This window comes from Homo sapiens, chromosome 2 (genome assembly GCF_000001405.40).
Source record: "Homo sapiens chromosome 2, GRCh38.p14 Primary Assembly".
Classification (NCBI taxonomy): Eukaryota; Metazoa; Chordata; class Mammalia; order Primates; family Hominidae; genus Homo; species Homo sapiens.
The window spans coordinates 21039408-21053903 of record NC_000002.12 but is presented as its reverse complement, the minus strand read 5'-3'; the positions used below and the strand labels follow the sequence as shown (position 1 = coordinate 21053903).

The window sequence follows — 14496 nt, the reverse complement described above, 5'->3', positions numbered from 1 at the left end:
CCTCCAGCTTTGCCCAGGGGTCAGCAGTGGTGGAGAAGGCCATTGGCCAGTGTTCCCCAAGGGACTCCAGTGCCAGGGCCTGTTCCAAATGAGCGACAGACACATCATTTCATACCAACTCATTTTCAGAGGTATTTTCTGAGTGTGATGCAGGATCTCACATTCCAGATTGTTAATCTGGTAGGATCAGCCATGTAAAGCCACAATTTGGACATGTGCAGGATAAGTATTAAAAAACAACTGAGATGGCTGAGCCCAGCTTCTTGTTTACCTACTTGGGGAAAATGCACGAAGACATTTAGAAGGGAAAAATTGTAATAAACAGCATTTACATTAAGAACACATCCAAACAGCAGCAAGCACAGGTATTTCCGTATGTTTATGCTTTTCCCTAAGCGCATTTCTTCAGAAATCTGGATACTATCAAAGGCAGCCCCTAGGAAATGCCTCTAATTCCCATCTCCTTCTCTGGCAGTGAATCGCTGTGATATTTTCGTGTTGCCTCTCCTCCCTGGGAGCCCACCGAGGCTCAGAACCCCCTCCTGCCTTATTTCTCTAACAAATGCCATAAAGAATCTCAGGTTTCCTAATCCTCTCATTGAGATTCAGGACGGTGTAGTATGAGCTGCATGGGATATAAAGTCAAAACACCTGAGTTTGAGTTCTAGCTCAGCTATTTATATGCCAGGTGATCCTGGAAAGTCTTTTAACCCCAGGGAGGTTCAGGTGCCTCACCTGTGATGTGTAACGTAAAACTCACAGCTACCAGGATTAAAAGAAATAATGGAAACCAAAGCCCTTTACAAATCATAAAGCGTTGTGTGACTGCAGATCTTGCTAATAAGACAGTAGCTTATTTCTCCAGATAGAGGGCAACTCATGTGCTTACACCAAAGTCACTGAGACTCAATCTTATGTTGGTCATTTGATCTTACATATTCATAACTGCCTCTTCTAGGTACCTGTACTTATATAATGAAGACAATAGAATTTGGTTAGTTATGTAAAACTTAGCCCTGGCTCCCTCATTTGTAAGATGGCTGGTTAAAAAATCTATTTTGCAGATTTTTTGGAATGTAAAATGAGATAATTTATGAAAGTTAACTATCACAATGATGGGTCCGTTTTTTGGTGCTTGAGAAATACTAGGGTTTACAAATATATATATTTACAATGATAGGCCAATTTCCTGCTGCCACTGAGGAGCAGAGATGAAGTATTCACCATCTTCAACATCTGCACACTGTAATTGTTGGTCTGTGAAGGGTGCTATCTCATTTTGTTGGCTTGTTTCTAGTTCCCCATCCTTACTCCGCATCCCCACTCCCAACTCTTATTCTTCTCATTCACACCAAAAGCAATCATTCCAAGGTGCTTGATGTCACTTTTTTAAACTTGTATTTGTTGCTAGTTTTGTATGTTTCCTTATAAAACATGTTAAGCTGTTTTGGATACAGAGGAAGCCTTATGTCTCTAGCCACTGAATACTTTCTTTCTGAATGAAAAGGGAAGAAAGCTTATCAGGACATTACAGACTCTAAAAGAAGCTTGGGATTTCAGCTTCGGAGACCAAGAATATCTCTATTTTTTTCTCTGAAAAGGCAAGGGTTCGGGGCCTGTCCTCTCAGTGACTGGAGCTCTGGTCACTTCTTTGAAAAGCCCCAGGGAGGAACAGTCCCTAATAAGGACTGATTCTGCTCATTGAGCAATAGGGCTGATGTCACCCGCATTGGGAACAGGTCACGCCCTATTAGCAAGGAGGCAGAAGAGGTAACTCAGGGCCACTTACAGGCTCACAGAACCTGAAAATTTCTAACAGCAAGGGGCAAAAGGATTCCTTTATACATGAAAAATTAACTCAAAAGGGATCATAGCCTTAGACATAAGACCTAAAACTATAAACCTCTTAGAAGAAAACACAGGAGTAAAATTCCTTGACCATGTTTTAGGCAATAGTTTCTTGCATATGACACCAAAAGGAAAAGCAACAAAGGAAAAACATTAATTCATCCAAATTAAAAACTTTTGCATTTTAAAGAAAAGTAGAAAGACAACCCACAGAATAAGAGAAAATATTTGCAAATGCTATGTCGGATAAGAAACCTGAATCCAGAAGGCAAAAACAACTCTTACAACTTAATAATAAAAAGTCCAAGCACTCCAATTTAAAAATTCAAAATCCAAAGAATTTGAGTAGACATTTCTCCAAAAGAGATATACAAATTCCCAGTAAGAACACAAAAAGATGCTCAACATCAATAGCCATCATAGAAATGCAATAAAAGCCACAATAAGATACCACTTCACATCCACTAGGATGGGTATAATAAAAACAAAAACAGATAATAACAAGTGTTGACAAGGATGTGGAGAGATTGGAACCTTCATATATTGCTGGTGTGAATGTAAAATGGTGTAGCCACTTTGGAAAACAATCTGTCAGTTCCTCATATGATTAAACATAGAATTACCATGTTACCCAGAAATTTCACTCCTAGATATACATCTAAGAGAAATGAAAGCATGTGTGTACATAAAAACTTGAATGCAGATATTCATAGCAGCATTATTCCTGATAGCTGTTAAGTAGAAACAAAACAAATGTCTATCAATTGATGAATAAATAAAATGTGGCATATCTATACAATGGAATATTAGTCAGTAATAAAAAAGAATAAAAGGCTGCAACATGTATGAACCTTGAAAATATTATGGGAAGTGAAAAATGCCAGTTGCAAAAGACCACATATTGTTTGACCCCATGTATATGAAATGTCCAAAACAGGCAAATCTGTAGAGAGAGAAAGTAACTTAGTGGTTGCCTAGGGCTGGACAGGTAGGGAACTTAAGGGGTGATGGCTGATTGGTACCAGAGTTCTTTGGGGGGTGATTAAAATATTCTAAAATTGATTGTTGTGAATCCATTAGCATATTCGCAGATAAGTGAATATACTTATCTGTGGCCTCTGCAGGGTGGGCCTTAGAACACCTAAAGGTGGCCATTATTTTTTTTAAATGACTCTATTAGAAGTTAAGTGCACCACTAAAAAGAGAAAACCAAGAAATTCCTGATACTAAATGGCCCATTTCCACCCACTTTCTTCTTTGGAGACCAAGTAACCTAAGCAGTCTGGGCTCTGGCAATGGCCTGAGGCCTCTCCATGCTATCAGAGAGGGAACAACATACAGATGAAAACAGTGTCAGGCCATTCTGGTAGTTATTTGGTATTTACTTCAGAATCTAGATAAAGATGGTGTCAGAAAAACTTCCACCTCAGTACTGACCATTCCTGGCTTTCCCTGTGATGGACAGTCTATGCCCCGGATTGGGGACAGAAATAGCAGAGACCTGAGATATGACCACAAAGCACTGATCCACATGTGCAGGCTCCATCTGGCCATCTGTAGATAGACAGGCTGGAGAGGTTTCCCTTCTAGAAACTCTTCACTGCATGCTGCCTAGAACATGATCTAATTTCATAAAATTCCACCAGTTAGGCAGCCTGTTAATGGGTGCCCAGGGATTCTCAGATTGATGGAGAAGAGTTGGATTCAATAACCTTATGGCCCTTCTAGGCCCTGAACCTCTATGATCCTATGTAATGAGTTACATAATCATATTTATTCTAAATACAAACCCACAAAAAAATCAATGAAATTTTTCACTTTCAATAAGGAATAGATTACAAGATGATATGGTTTGGCTGTGTCCCCTCCCAGATCTCATCTTGAATTGTAATCCCCATAATCCCCACATGTTTAGGGAGGGACCTGGTGGGAGGAGATTGGATCATGGGGGTGGTTTCCCCCATGCTATTCTTGTGACAGTGAGTGAGTTCTCACGAGATCTGATGGTTTTATAAGGGGCTCTTTCCCCTTCGCTCCTCACTCGTCTCTCTCCTGCTGCCATGTAAAGCAGGTCTTTGCTTCTCCTTAACCTTATGCCATGATTGCAAGTTTCCTGAGGCCTCCCCCAGCCATGTGGAACTGTAAATCAATTAAACCTCTTTCCTTTATAGATTACCCAGTCTCGGGTATTTCTTCACAGCAGTGTGAAAACAGACTAATACACAAGAGAATACACTGATTTCAAAGATTCTTCTTTTTTTTTTTTTTTTTTAGGTGGAGTCTGGCTCTGTCACCTAGGCTGGAGTGCAATGGCACAATCTCGGCTCACTGCAACCTCCGTCTCCTGGGTTCAAGCGATTCTCCTGCTTCAATGTCCCGAGTAGCTGGGATTACAGGTGCAGGCCACCATGCCTGGCTAATTTTTGTATTTTTAGCAGAGATGGGTTTTCACCATGTTGGCCAGGCTGGTCTTGAACTCCTGACCTCAGGTTATCCACACCCGCCTCGGCCTTCCAAAGTGCTGGAATTACAGGCACGAGGCACCATGCCTGGCCCAAAGAGCAATCTCCAAGCAATTTTATGTAGCCAATGTAGATTTAGTGCAATTAGAGTAGAATGAATAACCTAGATTATAAACTAAAGATCCAAGTTCTCGCCTTACCTCTGCTCTTGTCATGAAAACAAAACAAAACAAAACAAAACTTCTTAGCCTGTCTAGACCCCAGTTTCTCTATAAGATGAGAATATTAGTCACGATTTGGTTTCTAAGATCCTGTCTATGTTTGAGACTACAGATACCTGTTGCTACATTTCCCTTCATAGCTCTGAACAAGGAGAATTCAGCCCAATTCTCATGGCCTTCTACACAATCCAGAGTTTCAGTGCCATATGTACTACATTTAGTGTCAAATTAAGTCAAAGGCTTCATTAGCCTGAAAGCTCTGTCCCTGGCCTGGGCATGGCAAACTGTATCCCCCACTGACCATCCCCCTGTCTCCCTTCTCCCCAGAGACTCCAGTAGCCTGGCGTCATCACAGGGGCCAGACATATCCAACATGTTCCCAGCTTCCTGCCACTGCACTTTCAGTGTGCCTCCCTCTTCAGTTACCCAAATCCTGCCCACCATTCCAGAGCCAGTTCAATCTCACCCATCCAGGACCCCCGAGACCCCCATCGTACCACTATAGTCTAACTGTGGTGTAGACCCCACACTGGGCACATTGCGTACGCTCATTATTGGCTGTGACGTCTGATTATGCCCTTCTCCTGGTCTGGAAGCTCTCGGAGGTGCTCCATAATACATGAAGAGAAGTAGTGCTGGTGTGGGAATAGTGAGGTGTGTTTATCCATCCAGCTATCCGGCACCAGCACTGGTCTCAGCTTTCTGAGGTAACACGTTCTGAGCCTTAGTCTTGAGAGAACATAAAGAAAACTTTTTTTAAAAGTAGTAAAAAGTGGCTGACAAAAGCTGACCAAAAGCCTTTCAAAAGAAATGCTAAGTTATATCTAAGAAAGTTTACCCAAGGTCAGGCAAATATGAAACCTAAAGCTAGACGTGGGGAAGAACTTCCGGAGAGTTGCAATTCCCTGTGCCCCAGCATCCTCAGGAGGGCATGCCCACATCTGATTTAGAAATCTGTGTAAAATGAGTGAAGGGTTCTATTTCTTGGGCAGTGTGGGCACAGGTCTTTGGAGAGGTCGATGGCCTCCCATAAAATCCTTCCTGCTTGATGGTTCTGGATCCTCAGCCACAGCTCCTAATAGCCATGAGGTTTGAGCCCAAAATAATTTATGTGTTTGTTTTTTCAGCCCCAAAATTTCCATAGAATCAAAGTAGTCAGAGCTGAATGGGGCTAAGAGACCGTCCATTCCTGTCTTCTCATCACACAGATGAGGGACTGCCACCCAGAGCCGTAGAAACTGTCCCATGGCCCCAGTTCCCAGACCCTTCCTCTCTCCTACAGCTCCAAGTTCACTGTGCATTCTAAATGAAGATGTAAACATAAGCAGCAACACTCAAGAGTAAAAATGAAGTGTGCATATGAAAGAAACCTATTCACATGGACCATATTACATTATAATCACAGTGTTTACTGCTTGACTACCATCTGCCTGGCCTAGCAAGGGTGTCAGTGAGGAAGAGAGGACAAGGGGTACCAATCTGTGAACTACACATGGTTCTTGCTCTCCCAGCTTCTCTCTCCCATTGGCAAGGCAACAGGTAAACACATGAAAAATCAAATAATGCTATAAGAGAAAAATGTATTCAGGACAACAACAGGTTTGTATGAAGGCCTTTCATCATCGTTGTCCTACCTAGAAACTGAATGACAGGGAATCAGAGTCACAAGCTATGAAGTCTAACTGGGCTGTTCCCAGAGAAAGATTCAGTGCAGTAGGTGGGGCTGCAGCCAGCCCTGGGTGGGTGGAAGGATGACATCCACATAGGCAAGAGGGTGATAATTCACTTACGCAGCTCCTCACTGCACATTGAACCCTGCTGACTTCTGGCTTCTCTCCCGGGAGGAACTGCGACTCAACATTCTGACCTTATCTCTTGGGTAGCAGAATGATGGAGAAGGAAAGTTTCTTTTTGCTTCTCGCAGGGGTTAATCATCCATCTGGAATGCCTACATTTGGTTGACAATGGCTCACCCTATCATCTTCCTCCTGAACCATTCACCTAAATGTGCCATTTCTTTCCTGATAGTTCTCATTTGTGTGTGTGTGTGTGTGTGTGTGTGTGTGCACGTGCTCACACATGCATGCTGTCACTGGGTAAACAGGCCACCCTGGGCACAGTTCCATCTACAATGTTTGAAGTTTACTTTCCAGCTTCTGGGCATCATTTGCAATTATAATGCTGTCATAGGCAGAAACGAGATAGGCTAATTAATCGTTGTCAATACTGATCCCTATTTGCCAGATGAGATTTTGGAGCAGCATGGCTGGGAATAATTGGTATAGACTGTATTTCCTTGCTTTATGTCACTGGAAATATTTATTTAAGCATCACGGTCGCTATGCATAAATATCCTGGAAAATGGGGTATAGCTGAATGGTGCAGATTCATTCATTCATATTCAGCAAATTATGTTCTAAGCACCTACTTCAGTATGTGAACAGCACTAAACTCAGAATATTGGTCTGCTGGGGTCCTTTATTAGCTTCCATGATTCCCTGAACTTGGCCAAGACCCTTCTGGTCGGCTGCAGATAGGCACAATGGATAGTTTTGCTTCTAGATAATGTAACTGGGACATTCAGCATTATCTATCGCCTTGAAATTCCTCTAGTCAGGTGGCTTTCTAATGGGTACCCAGAGCCCTATGACTACCCAGATTGATGGTGCACCCAACAGGACTTTGCATTTATGAGCTGATAAGTCACAGTCACTAGCTGAGATTAATCTGTGTGACACCAGAATGTGTCTCTATCTAAAGGAAAAGGGATGAAGGGTGATATCTTTGGTCACAAGTAATGTATTTCCATGTAGTCTTTGACAAAGGATCTAAGTGGATTTTGTAATTGAAGAAAAATCTATGCACTAATCTTTACAGCATTTCCGTGAGTGTACGCAAGTCAGCTCAACAATTCAACATTTGCTCTGTGGGGTTGTGCTAGACCCTGTCAGGGGATAACTACTGCTGGCTGGGGCCCAGTTCAGGGAAGACTTGCCAAAGACCATCAGGAAAAGAGGGAAGCTGAGTCTTAGGTTTCTTCCTTTAGAGATGGTGACAGTCCTCTCACCACCTCCAAGCATCTCACAATGTTTCCCTGCCTCCAAGTCATCAAATTCATTTTTGATTCCTACTTCATAAAAATTACATTCTCCCAGCACTTTGGGAGGCCAAGGCGGGCAGATCATGAGGTCAGGAGTTCAAGACCAGCCTGATCAACATGGTGAAACACCGTCTCTACTAAAAATACAAAAATTAGCTGGGCATAGTGGCACTCACCTGTTATCTCAGTTACTTGGGAGGCTAAGGCAGGAGAATCGCTTAAACCCGGGAGGCAGAGGTTGCAGTGAGCCGAGATTGTACCACTACACTCCAGCCTGGGTGACAGAGGGAGACTCCATCTCAAATAAATAAATTAAAAAAAAAAATATATATATATATGTATATATTCTCTATGGATGCTGACCATTGGACCCTGGTTTCATCTGCACGTAACAGAGTAAGCTTGGACTTGTGCTTGTAAATTAAAGCTCGACACCTCCTTTTGGCTTCTCTATACCTGAATATTCTTACTCACTCTCCTTAATGTGAATATGCATGGAAGCAGGACCATTTCCTCAAACACTAGCAGCAGCGAACCCTGTGGAAAGTCAGTCCACATAGAATAATTCAAATAAAGTGTTCAGAGAAATGGGGTTTCAGAGCAATTACTTTTTCCAGACCTTTCACAAATCAGTGGTGTAGGTATGACCAGCCTTGAGTTGAGACCTCTGTAATATCCATCTTTAATAACATTAATATGCTGTGGATGAGCAACTGATCACTGGAGGGAGTTTAGCTGCCCATAGGAGTTCATGGCTAATGACAATATCTGAATAAGGACAGGTGTGGAGCCCAGGTGCAGGAAGCAGGCGAAGGTCTTTCTGTGAGTCTCCTCTGAGGGAACTGGGTCTTTATACATAGTTACTGTTTCAGAATTGATCCTTCTGGAATCATCAGTCTTCACCAGTAGCTTGTTACATCTGGGGTTATCTCATAATTCAAACAAAGCTGACAAGTTGTAACAATGAGCACACACTGACTTCTGCAACAGGCGCTGTCCACTTCCCATCCGCACTCTACCGGCTTGCTCCTGGCCGCCTCCCACTCGCCTTCCTGGGTGGTCCCCCAGCAGTTATACCTACCTGGTTGTCGCCCCCTCTATCCTACCACAATTGCTCACTAGCGGTTTCCTGCGTACACAGCTTGTCTCCCTAACCAGAGTGGAGGTGCCTTGGGGACACAGCCAGGCTCAGACATTCACTCAGCTCATCATAGTGCCATCCCATCAATAACCCCTTCTGAGTGATCCTGGGTTAGTAAACCGAGTGTCCCTGAAATTCCACTACCGCTGATTCCCTCCAGCTGGGCAGAGGCAGCGAGCGCTGGCTGAAGCTTCCGGTGGGAAATGGGCAGTGCCTAGAAGAGAAGGAAACGATGCATGAGAAGGTTCCAGATGTCTATGAGGAACATGACGTGTCCTGTCCACTACTCTGCTTTTCCTCGTCCGCCTCCCCACCACTGGAGGAAACCTAGAAGCTGGTGCAGGAAATCCTCCTCTCAACAACCCAAGAACACTTTGCACAAGAGGGGTGCGCCCTCGGAGGTTGCTCTTCCCCAGAGGCCTCTCCTCGCTGGGGTTTCTTGAAGACAGATACTTGGACTCCTGCTGGGACCAGGCAGGCCACCCATCCTCAGGGGCAGTGACTGGTCACTCACCAGACCTCCCTGCATCCCCCTTCTCTCTCCTCCCCCAGCACGGGCTGAACCCCGCAGCCACAGATTCTGATCAGGATTAGGGTGTGGGTGCAAATCCAAGGTCCACCAAAATGGAAAAGAAGTAACCGATGGGAACACGTCTCCACCAAGACAGCGCTCAGGACTGGTTCTCCTCGTGGCTCCCAATTCAGTCCAGGAGAAGCAGAGATTTTGTCCCCATGGTGGGTCATCTGAAGAAGGCACCCCTGGTCAGGGCAGGCTTCTCAGACCCTGAGGCGCTGGCCATGGCCCCACTGAGACACAGGAAGGGCCGCGCCAGAGCACTGAAGACGCTTGGGGAAGGGAACCCACCTGGGACCCAGCCCCTGGTGGCTGCGGCTGCATCCCAGGTGGGCCCCCTCCCCGAGGCTCTTCAAGGCTCAAAGAGAAGCCAGTGTAGAAAAGCAAACAGGTCAGGCCCGGGAGGCGCCCTTTGGACCTTTTGCAATCCTGGCGCTCTTGCAGCCTGGGCTTCCTATAAATGGGGTGCGGGCGCCGGCCGCGCATTCCCACCGGGACCTGCGGGGCTGAGTGCCCTTCTCGGTTGCTGCCGCTGAGGAGCCCGCCCAGCCAGCCAGGGCCGCGAGGCCGAGGCCAGGCCGCAGCCCAGGAGCCGCCCCACCGCAGCTGGCGATGGACCCGCCGAGGCCCGCGCTGCTGGCGCTGCTGGCGCTGCCTGCGCTGCTGCTGCTGCTGCTGGCGGGCGCCAGGGCCGGTGAGTGCGCGGCCGCTCTGCGGGCGCAGAGGGAGCGGGAGGGAGCCGGCGGCACGAGGTTGGCCGGGGCAGCCTGGGCCTAGGCCAGAGGGAGGGCAGCCACAGGGTCCAGGGCGAGTGGGGGGATTGGACCAGCTGGCGGCCCCTGCAGGCTCAGGATGGGGGGCGCGGGATGGAGGGGCTGAGGAGGGGGTCTCCGGAGCCTGCCTCCCTCCTGAAAGGTGAAACCTGTGCCGGTGGTCCCCCTGTCGGGCCCTAGCACCCGCTGGGAAGACGTGGGAAGCTCACAGATTTCTTTCTCCTGTCTTACAGAAGAGGAAATGCTGGAAAATGTCAGCCTGGTCTGTCCAAGTAAGGCATCTGCGCATGGGGCGTGGAAGGGCGCCCAGCCCCGTGCACTCTCCTACACCCGGGTCCCTGAGGGCCTCCCACTCTACAGGGCTGAGATGGCATCGTGGTGTGCCTTGCTCTGACCCCAGGAAGCAAGTTCCCTGAGCCTCTGCCCACACCCAAGGGATGCCAACTCTCTTCTACCTGGCCTTCTGTTCTGTCCCAAAAGTTCAGCCTGGGGGCGGGGGAGGGAAGGGATTGTCTCTCCGCTGGCCTGTGCACACTTTGAAGAAACATCACTGTCCTGTTTATCAGTGACTAGTCATTGATTCGAAGCATGTGAGGGTGAGGAAATACTGACTTTAACCTTTGTGAAGAAATCGAACCTCCACCCCCTTCCTATTTACCTGACCCCTGGGGGTTAAAGGAACTGGCCTCCAAGCGCGACCCTGTGTGCTGGAGCCGCGGGGCGGACTTCTGATGGGGCAGCACCGCCATCTAGTGGCCGTCTGTCATCACTGCAGCTGGACTCAGGACCCAGATGTTCTTTTTCTTCAATTGTTCAGAAAATTCCTCTCAACTACAGTGGAAACCTCCAGAAATTCTTTTCTAGGAGTTTGTTAAGTTAGTTACGCTTAATGCTTAATGAACTTTGCCTTAAGTATTTGGTAGTCTTAGAGTCACGGAATTACGGCGTGTTCAAGCTAAAAAAGCATTAGAGATAGTACTATTTGCGTAATGTTGTCATCTCTTAATTTGCCAGAGGGTCTCTCATGCAGATTTTCTGAGCCCCATTACTTGACACTTGTCACTCCCTTCCCTGTGCCTCAGATGAGATATTCAAGACATGCCAGCCAATTTAAACATTAGCCTCAGCAAAAACATAATGGAGAAGTCAAATCTATAAAGGAAAATTAAGTATAAAGTCAATTAAAAAATAATTTGAGTTGAATTACCATTTTTAATTCTCTATGCCACTGCCCCTCTCTGCCCAGAATTGGCTGTCCTTGGGAGAGCTATTTCTGCTATGTGGCTGACGTATTTCTCCCCACGTTAGAAGATGCGACCCGATTCAAGCACCTCCGGAAGTACACATACAACTATGAGGCTGAGAGTTCCAGTGGAGTCCCTGGGACTGCTGATTCAAGAAGTGCCACCAGGATCAACTGCAAGGTATGGAGGATGCAGGCAGGAGGGACCTAGAGCCCACAGCTTTCCCCCAGCCCTGTTCCAGCGGGCGCCCAACACGCGACCTTCCCGGAGGGTGTGTACTGAGCAAACGCAGAACATCCCAGAACTGTTGTAATCTGATCAAAGCACTGGGACTTTGCCTCTGTTTGTAAGTCAGCCACATTGCTGAGATGTGGTCTGCCCCCACCAAATTTCGCAAGTCAGAAGTATTTTCCCGTTAACTTCCCAGATGCAATAGGAATCCATGATCTAGATTAGCAGCAGTGTGGGTCTGTAGATTTCAGCGTGAGAGAGGCCCAGTAGGTGAGCTATGGGAGGCAGGCAACTCGGAATCGCACTGTGAAATGCAGTTTTTATAATTTAAGTCAAACAGAATCTGTTGCTGAAAAATGAATGGAAAGAAGAAAAAAATATAAACATACAGTTTGTTCTAAAATAAAACTTTGCTTATTATTGAGACTGGTTGTACTCATGTTACATACATGTGGAGCAGATCTACAGGCTGCTATTGGGGTTTGGGTGGGGAAGAGAAGTCAAGCTGAGCAGTCACCTTTTTTTAGAGAGTACCGTAGCTCTTGTATGTGCTGTCCAATATGGTAGACATGAGCCACATTGGGCTATTTAAATGGAATGAAATTAAAAATTCATATTCGTTGTCACATTAGCTGCATTTCAACTGCTCAACAGCCACCCTGGCTACTGGCTCCCATATTGAACAGCACACATGTACAACATTTCTATAAAGTTATTTGAATAGTGCTGGATAATAAGTAGGAATCCGTTGAAACTCCAGCTATATGCAAAGCTCTAAATAGGCCCTAATAGATATAACCAGTTTTTTGGGTGACATTAAGGAGACATTTGCTGTGGAAACGAAGGATGGCCCTCTTCCTGCTTTCTGTTTTTCTTCTTCACTTTCACTCCTAGTCTGCAGCGCTTCTATTTAACCACAGCTCTTTATAATTAAAGTGAGTAACTTTAGAACCAATAAAAGGACATCCTCCTTCCCATGCCTAGGGGCAAACTTAAGAAATGTGTTACCCGGGAGGGGGAAAACGTCAGCAATAGGACTAAGTCTAGGTTGGTGCACAGAGAACCCAGGAGGCATGTTGATAAGGCATGTGGTGTTGAGGCGCAGGCAGTGGTGTTCCCAGCACCATTCCCTTTGGTGCTCTGATTAGAGATTAAGCCCTGGGCTTCAGGGGCCACCTCTCATTCTTGATAGACAACCTCAATGCTCTGCTACCCTGAATTCTCAGGTTGAGCTGGAGGTTCCCCAGCTCTGCAGCTTCATCCTGAAGACCAGCCAGTGCACCCTGAAAGAGGTGTATGGCTTCAACCCTGAGGGCAAAGCCTTGCTGAAGAAAACCAAGAACTCTGAGGAGTTTGCTGCAGCCATGTCCAGGTAAGTCATGTTGTACATGAGCACACGCATGTGTGTGTGTCCGCTGAGGTATGAACTTGTGTGTTTGCACCAGGCACGGATGTGACTGTAAGTATTTGTATTCCGTATCCATCGTGGATCAGGGAATTACTGAGTTTTCACAATCATCAAAAAGAGAGAAGCATTAGTTAACCTTCCCTAGTTAGGTTCCTTTAATTATCATTTTCATGTGTTTCTAAAAATCTCATGCTTTAAACTTCTTGAGATTATAAAACTGAGATGCTTTGTTTAAACAAGTGAATTCTTATTTAAAGAACTAGTCAAGACTAGTGCTTGGTGGTCTTTGGTGTGGGGTCCCAGAGGCACTGGCTGCTGTGGCCGGCACATGGCGGGGCAGGGTCTGTTCACCGCAGGGCAGAGGAGCACCAAGGCTTCGGTGGCTCCCCCTCCTAGGCTGGCATTCAGCCACTGCACGCTGATCGGCCACTGCAGCTGCATCTCTGCTGACTGGTCAGGGCCCATGTCGCACCCATTGTAAATATTTTCAACATCACCCCTGCCTCATCCTCAATCACAGTTTGTAGGGTCCTAGGTGTGTATGAATACAGGCAGGATAGAGTTGTTAACTTGGTAGCATCAGAAAACTCTGTCTGTATTAGTCTGTTTTCATGCTGCTGATAAAGACATACCTGAGACTGGGCAATTTACAAAAGAAAGGTTTATTGGACTCACAGTTCCACGTGGCTGGGGAGGTCTCACAATCATGGCGGAAGGTGAGGGACAGCAAGTCACATCTTATGTAGATGGTGGCTGGCAAAGAGAGCTTGTGCAGAGAAACTCCTGTTTTTAGAACCATCAGATCTCCCGACACCCATCTGCAATCACGAGAACAGCACGGGAAAGACCTGCCCCCATGATTCAATCACCTCCCCCCGGGTCCCTCCCACAACACGTGGGAATTATGAGAGCTACGAGACGAAATTTGGGTGGGGACGCAGAGCCAAACCATATCACCATCCTTGCCCATTTTTCAGTTTTGCTAAACATTAGATTCAGATGCCAGTCCTTTCTTGCCAAAATAGGCTGTGAGGCTTCTTTCTTTCCTATGCTTTATTTTCTCCAAGACTTAACTGTATATGAGGGAGAGGGGTATGGTGGCAGGAGGAAAGAGTGGTTTATTTTTTGGTCCTTGGTCTTCTCCAAATACAGAAGAGACTCCTGTTCTTGAAAAGGAGGGCTTTCCATGTTTGCATCTTCATGACTTTAACTGTCTTTTTTAAAAATTGACATACAATAATTATACATATTTATTGAGAACATAGTGATATTTTGATACATGTAATGTATGGTGATCAGATCAGAGTAATTAGCATACCCATCATCTCAAACATTTATCATTTCTTCGTGTTGGGAACTTTCTGAGAGAGTGTAGGCTGTGGGAGATAAGTCCGTCACCTTTTCCTCCTGATGTAACCAGAGTGGCTGCAGCCAGGTCCTCAGAAACTCAGAGAGTACCCAGTGGGAAATCCCTAAGACCAAAGTCAGCATGGG

The 14496-nt window shown here is 46.0% G+C and overlaps 1 protein-coding gene across 1 annotated transcript in view, besides 40 other annotated features; it reads left to right on the top strand.

Moving 5' to 3' along the window:
• Positions 4563-5466: a matrix attachment site, noted in NCBI's record as "5' distal MAR; XbaI/SphI fragment". NCBI's record gives its function as "associates with the nuclear matrix" and the evidence as "EXISTENCE:fractionation evidence [ECO:0000100][PMID:2592370]".
• Positions 4563-5589: an insulator, noted in NCBI's record as "5' MAR (-5262 to -4235)". NCBI's record gives its function as "may contribute to locus-independent transgene expression in cell culture (PMID:7799927) but did not function as an insulator in whole animal transgenic models (e.g. PMID:9528807)" and the evidence as "EXISTENCE:reporter gene assay evidence [ECO:0000049][PMID:7799927]" and "EXISTENCE:transgenic organism evidence [ECO:0001131][PMID:9528807]".
• Positions 4563-12816: a biological region, named in NCBI's record as "APOB 5' regulatory region". NCBI's record gives its function as "regulatory_interactions: APOB | APOB-ICR".
• Positions 6219-6755: an enhancer, noted in NCBI's record as "OCT4-NANOG hESC enhancer chr2:21270021-21270557 (GRCh37/hg19 assembly coordinates)". NCBI's record gives its function as "activates a minimal SCP1, AML or CMV promoter by ChIP-STARR-seq in primed H9 embryonic stem cells {active_cell/tissue: H9 hESC(primed)}" and the evidence as "EXISTENCE:reporter gene assay evidence [ECO:0000049][PMID:30033119]".
• Positions 6613-8035: a silencer, noted in NCBI's record as "reducer; SphI/HindIII fragment (-3211 to -1802)". NCBI's record gives the evidence for it as "EXISTENCE:reporter gene assay evidence [ECO:0000049][PMID:1660893, PMID:1939218]".
• Positions 6760-7094: a silencer, noted in NCBI's record as "reducer, MboI/XbaI fragment (-3067 to -2734)". NCBI's record gives the evidence for it as "EXISTENCE:reporter gene assay evidence [ECO:0000049][PMID:1660893, PMID:1939218, PMID:8441395]".
• Positions 7027-7049: a silencer, noted in NCBI's record as "Red (-2801 to -2778)". NCBI's record gives the evidence for it as "EXISTENCE:reporter gene assay evidence [ECO:0000049][PMID:8441395]".
• Positions 7027-7049: a protein binding site, noted in NCBI's record as "Red (-2801 to -2778)". NCBI's record gives its function as "antagonizes transcriptional activation by forkhead box A" and the evidence as "EXISTENCE:protein binding evidence [ECO:0000024][PMID:8441395]".
• Positions 7089-7360: a silencer, noted in NCBI's record as "reducer, XbaI/MboI fragment (-2738 to -2470)". NCBI's record gives the evidence for it as "EXISTENCE:reporter gene assay evidence [ECO:0000049][PMID:1660893, PMID:1939218]".
• Positions 7309-8935: a matrix attachment site, noted in NCBI's record as "5' proximal MAR in HepG2 cells; EcoRV/PvuII fragment". NCBI's record gives its function as "associates with the nuclear matrix" and the evidence as "EXISTENCE:fractionation evidence [ECO:0000100][PMID:2592370]".
• Positions 7699-8035: a silencer, noted in NCBI's record as "reducer, StyI/HindIII fragment (-2130 to -1802)". NCBI's record gives the evidence for it as "EXISTENCE:reporter gene assay evidence [ECO:0000049][PMID:1660893, PMID:1939218]".
• Positions 8832-9861: a DNaseI hypersensitive site, noted in NCBI's record as "DH 1, 2, 3' and 3; coincides with micrococcal nuclease hypersensitive sites MH 2, 3, 4 and 5; the nucleotide coordinates are approximate for this feature". NCBI's record gives the evidence for it as "EXISTENCE:in vivo cleavage assay evidence [ECO:0001075][PMID:3336367]".
• Positions 8930-9955: a promoter, noted in NCBI's record as "PvuII 1 kb fragment; contains multiple negative and positive regulatory regions". NCBI's record gives the evidence for it as "EXISTENCE:reporter gene assay evidence [ECO:0000049][PMID:3336367, PMID:3165376, PMID:2501159]".
• Positions 9381-9405: a silencer, noted in NCBI's record as "aBUSS (apoB upstream suppressor site) (-449 to -425)". NCBI's record gives the evidence for it as "EXISTENCE:reporter gene assay evidence [ECO:0000049][PMID:2039496]".
• Positions 9691-9719: a protein binding site, noted in NCBI's record as "-139/111 probe (-139 to -111)". NCBI's record gives its function as "positive regulation of transcription" and the evidence as "EXISTENCE:protein binding evidence [ECO:0000024][PMID:8557677]".
• Positions 9714-9734: a protein binding site, noted in NCBI's record as "element I region (-118 to -98)". NCBI's record gives the evidence for it as "EXISTENCE:protein binding evidence [ECO:0000024][PMID:1733959]".
• Positions 9721-9744: a protein binding site, noted in NCBI's record as "-111wt probe (-111 to -88); includes TGT3 and TGT4 sites and overlaps element II region". NCBI's record gives its function as "positive regulation of transcription" and the evidence as "EXISTENCE:protein binding evidence [ECO:0000024][PMID:8441395]".
• Positions 9746-9770: a protein binding site, noted in NCBI's record as "BA1 element III region (-86 to -62); methylation sensitive". NCBI's record gives its function as "negative regulation of transcription" and the evidence as "EXISTENCE:protein binding evidence [ECO:0000024][PMID:1639815]".
• Positions 9747-9772: a protein binding site, noted in NCBI's record as "oligo BL (-85 to -59); AF-1 site; methylation sensitive". NCBI's record gives its function as "positive regulation of transcription" and the evidence as "EXISTENCE:protein binding evidence [ECO:0000024][PMID:1639815, PMID:8344962]".
• Positions 9758-9802: a response element, noted in NCBI's record as "QRE (quercetin response element)". NCBI's record gives its function as "responds to quercetin and antagonizes activation of transcription by C/EBP" and the evidence as "EXISTENCE:reporter gene assay evidence [ECO:0000049][PMID:25875015]".
• Positions 9760-9779: a protein binding site, noted in NCBI's record as "element IV region (-72 to -52)". NCBI's record gives its function as "positive regulation of transcription" and the evidence as "EXISTENCE:protein binding evidence [ECO:0000024][PMID:1733959, PMID:2161847]".
• Positions 9779-9799: a protein binding site, noted in NCBI's record as "element V region (-52 to -33)". NCBI's record gives the evidence for it as "EXISTENCE:protein binding evidence [ECO:0000024][PMID:1733959]".
• Positions 9826-9952: a transcriptional cis regulatory region, noted in NCBI's record as "+4 to +122". NCBI's record gives the evidence for it as "EXISTENCE:reporter gene assay evidence [ECO:0000049][PMID:2501159]".
• Positions 9831-14496, top strand: part of APOB (apolipoprotein B) — a 42645-nt gene continuing 37979 nt past the window's right edge. The window contains exons 1-4 of the mRNA NM_000384.3: positions 9831-10040; positions 10353-10391; positions 11428-11543; positions 12821-12966. Of these exons, the coding sequence (NP_000375.3) occupies positions 9959-10040; positions 10353-10391; positions 11428-11543; positions 12821-12966 (383 nt within the window). The 5' untranslated portion in view covers positions 9831-9958. The remainder of the gene's footprint in view (positions 10041-10352; positions 10392-11427; positions 11544-12820; positions 12967-14496) is intronic.
• Positions 9840-9870: a protein binding site, noted in NCBI's record as "BRF-3 site; probe sequence". NCBI's record gives the evidence for it as "EXISTENCE:protein binding evidence [ECO:0000024][PMID:10469141]".
• Positions 9845-9865: a transcriptional cis regulatory region, noted in NCBI's record as "+20 to +40". NCBI's record gives its function as "negative regulator of transcription" and the evidence as "EXISTENCE:reporter gene assay evidence [ECO:0000049][PMID:7575618]".
• Positions 9868-9878: a transcriptional cis regulatory region, noted in NCBI's record as "+43 to +53". NCBI's record gives its function as "positive regulator of transcription" and the evidence as "EXISTENCE:reporter gene assay evidence [ECO:0000049][PMID:7575618]".
• Positions 10173-10454: an enhancer, noted in NCBI's record as "PvuII/SmaI 275 bp fragment (+346 to +621)". NCBI's record gives the evidence for it as "EXISTENCE:reporter gene assay evidence [ECO:0000049][PMID:2019605]".
• Positions 10449-10897: an enhancer, noted in NCBI's record as "SmaI/PvuII 443 bp fragment (+621 to +1064)". NCBI's record gives its function as "enhancer in liver" and the evidence as "EXISTENCE:reporter gene assay evidence [ECO:0000049][PMID:2019605]" and "EXISTENCE:transgenic organism evidence [ECO:0001131][PMID:8139530]".
• Positions 10566-11959: a DNaseI hypersensitive site, noted in NCBI's record as "DH I, II, II', III', III, IV, IV' and V; coincides with micrococcal nuclease hypersensitive sites MH I, II, III, IV and V; the nucleotide coordinates are approximate for this feature". NCBI's record gives the evidence for it as "EXISTENCE:in vivo cleavage assay evidence [ECO:0001075][PMID:1527004]".
• Positions 10638-10771: an enhancer, noted in NCBI's record as "core enhancer (+806 to +940); inferred from constructs Xba 7/1 and Xba 3/8". NCBI's record gives the evidence for it as "EXISTENCE:reporter gene assay evidence [ECO:0000049][PMID:2019605]".
• Positions 10670-10704: a protein binding site, noted in NCBI's record as "PAL 35 oligo probe (+839 to +871)". NCBI's record gives the evidence for it as "EXISTENCE:protein binding evidence [ECO:0000024][PMID:2019605, PMID:1545795]".
• Positions 10701-10754: a protein binding site, noted in NCBI's record as "TaqI probe fragment (+871 to +921)". NCBI's record gives the evidence for it as "EXISTENCE:protein binding evidence [ECO:0000024][PMID:1545795]".
• Positions 10892-12816: an enhancer, noted in NCBI's record as "PvuII/EcoRI fragment (+1064 to 2977)". NCBI's record gives the evidence for it as "EXISTENCE:reporter gene assay evidence [ECO:0000049][PMID:1527004]".
• Positions 11376-11858: an enhancer, noted in NCBI's record as "StyI/HaeIII fragment (+1542 to +2021)". NCBI's record gives the evidence for it as "EXISTENCE:reporter gene assay evidence [ECO:0000049][PMID:1527004]".
• Positions 11637-11794: an enhancer, noted in NCBI's record as "core enhancer (+1803 to +1958), including DNase I footprint regions A, B, and C". NCBI's record gives the evidence for it as "EXISTENCE:reporter gene assay evidence [ECO:0000049][PMID:1527004]".
• Positions 11790-11813: a silencer, noted in NCBI's record as "BSIF-1". NCBI's record gives the evidence for it as "EXISTENCE:reporter gene assay evidence [ECO:0000049][PMID:8557677]".
• Positions 11790-11813: a protein binding site, noted in NCBI's record as "BSIF-1". NCBI's record gives the evidence for it as "EXISTENCE:protein binding evidence [ECO:0000024][PMID:8557677]".
• Positions 11864-12764: a regulatory region, noted in NCBI's record as "micrococcal_nuclease_hypersensitive_site; MH VI, VII, VIII, IX, X; region with decreased nucleosome phasing; the nucleotide coordinates are approximate for this feature". NCBI's record gives the evidence for it as "EXISTENCE:in vivo cleavage assay evidence [ECO:0001075][PMID:1527004]".
• Positions 12195-12214: a silencer, noted in NCBI's record as "BSIF-3". NCBI's record gives the evidence for it as "EXISTENCE:reporter gene assay evidence [ECO:0000049][PMID:8557677]".
• Positions 12195-12214: a protein binding site, noted in NCBI's record as "BSIF-3". NCBI's record gives the evidence for it as "EXISTENCE:protein binding evidence [ECO:0000024][PMID:8557677]".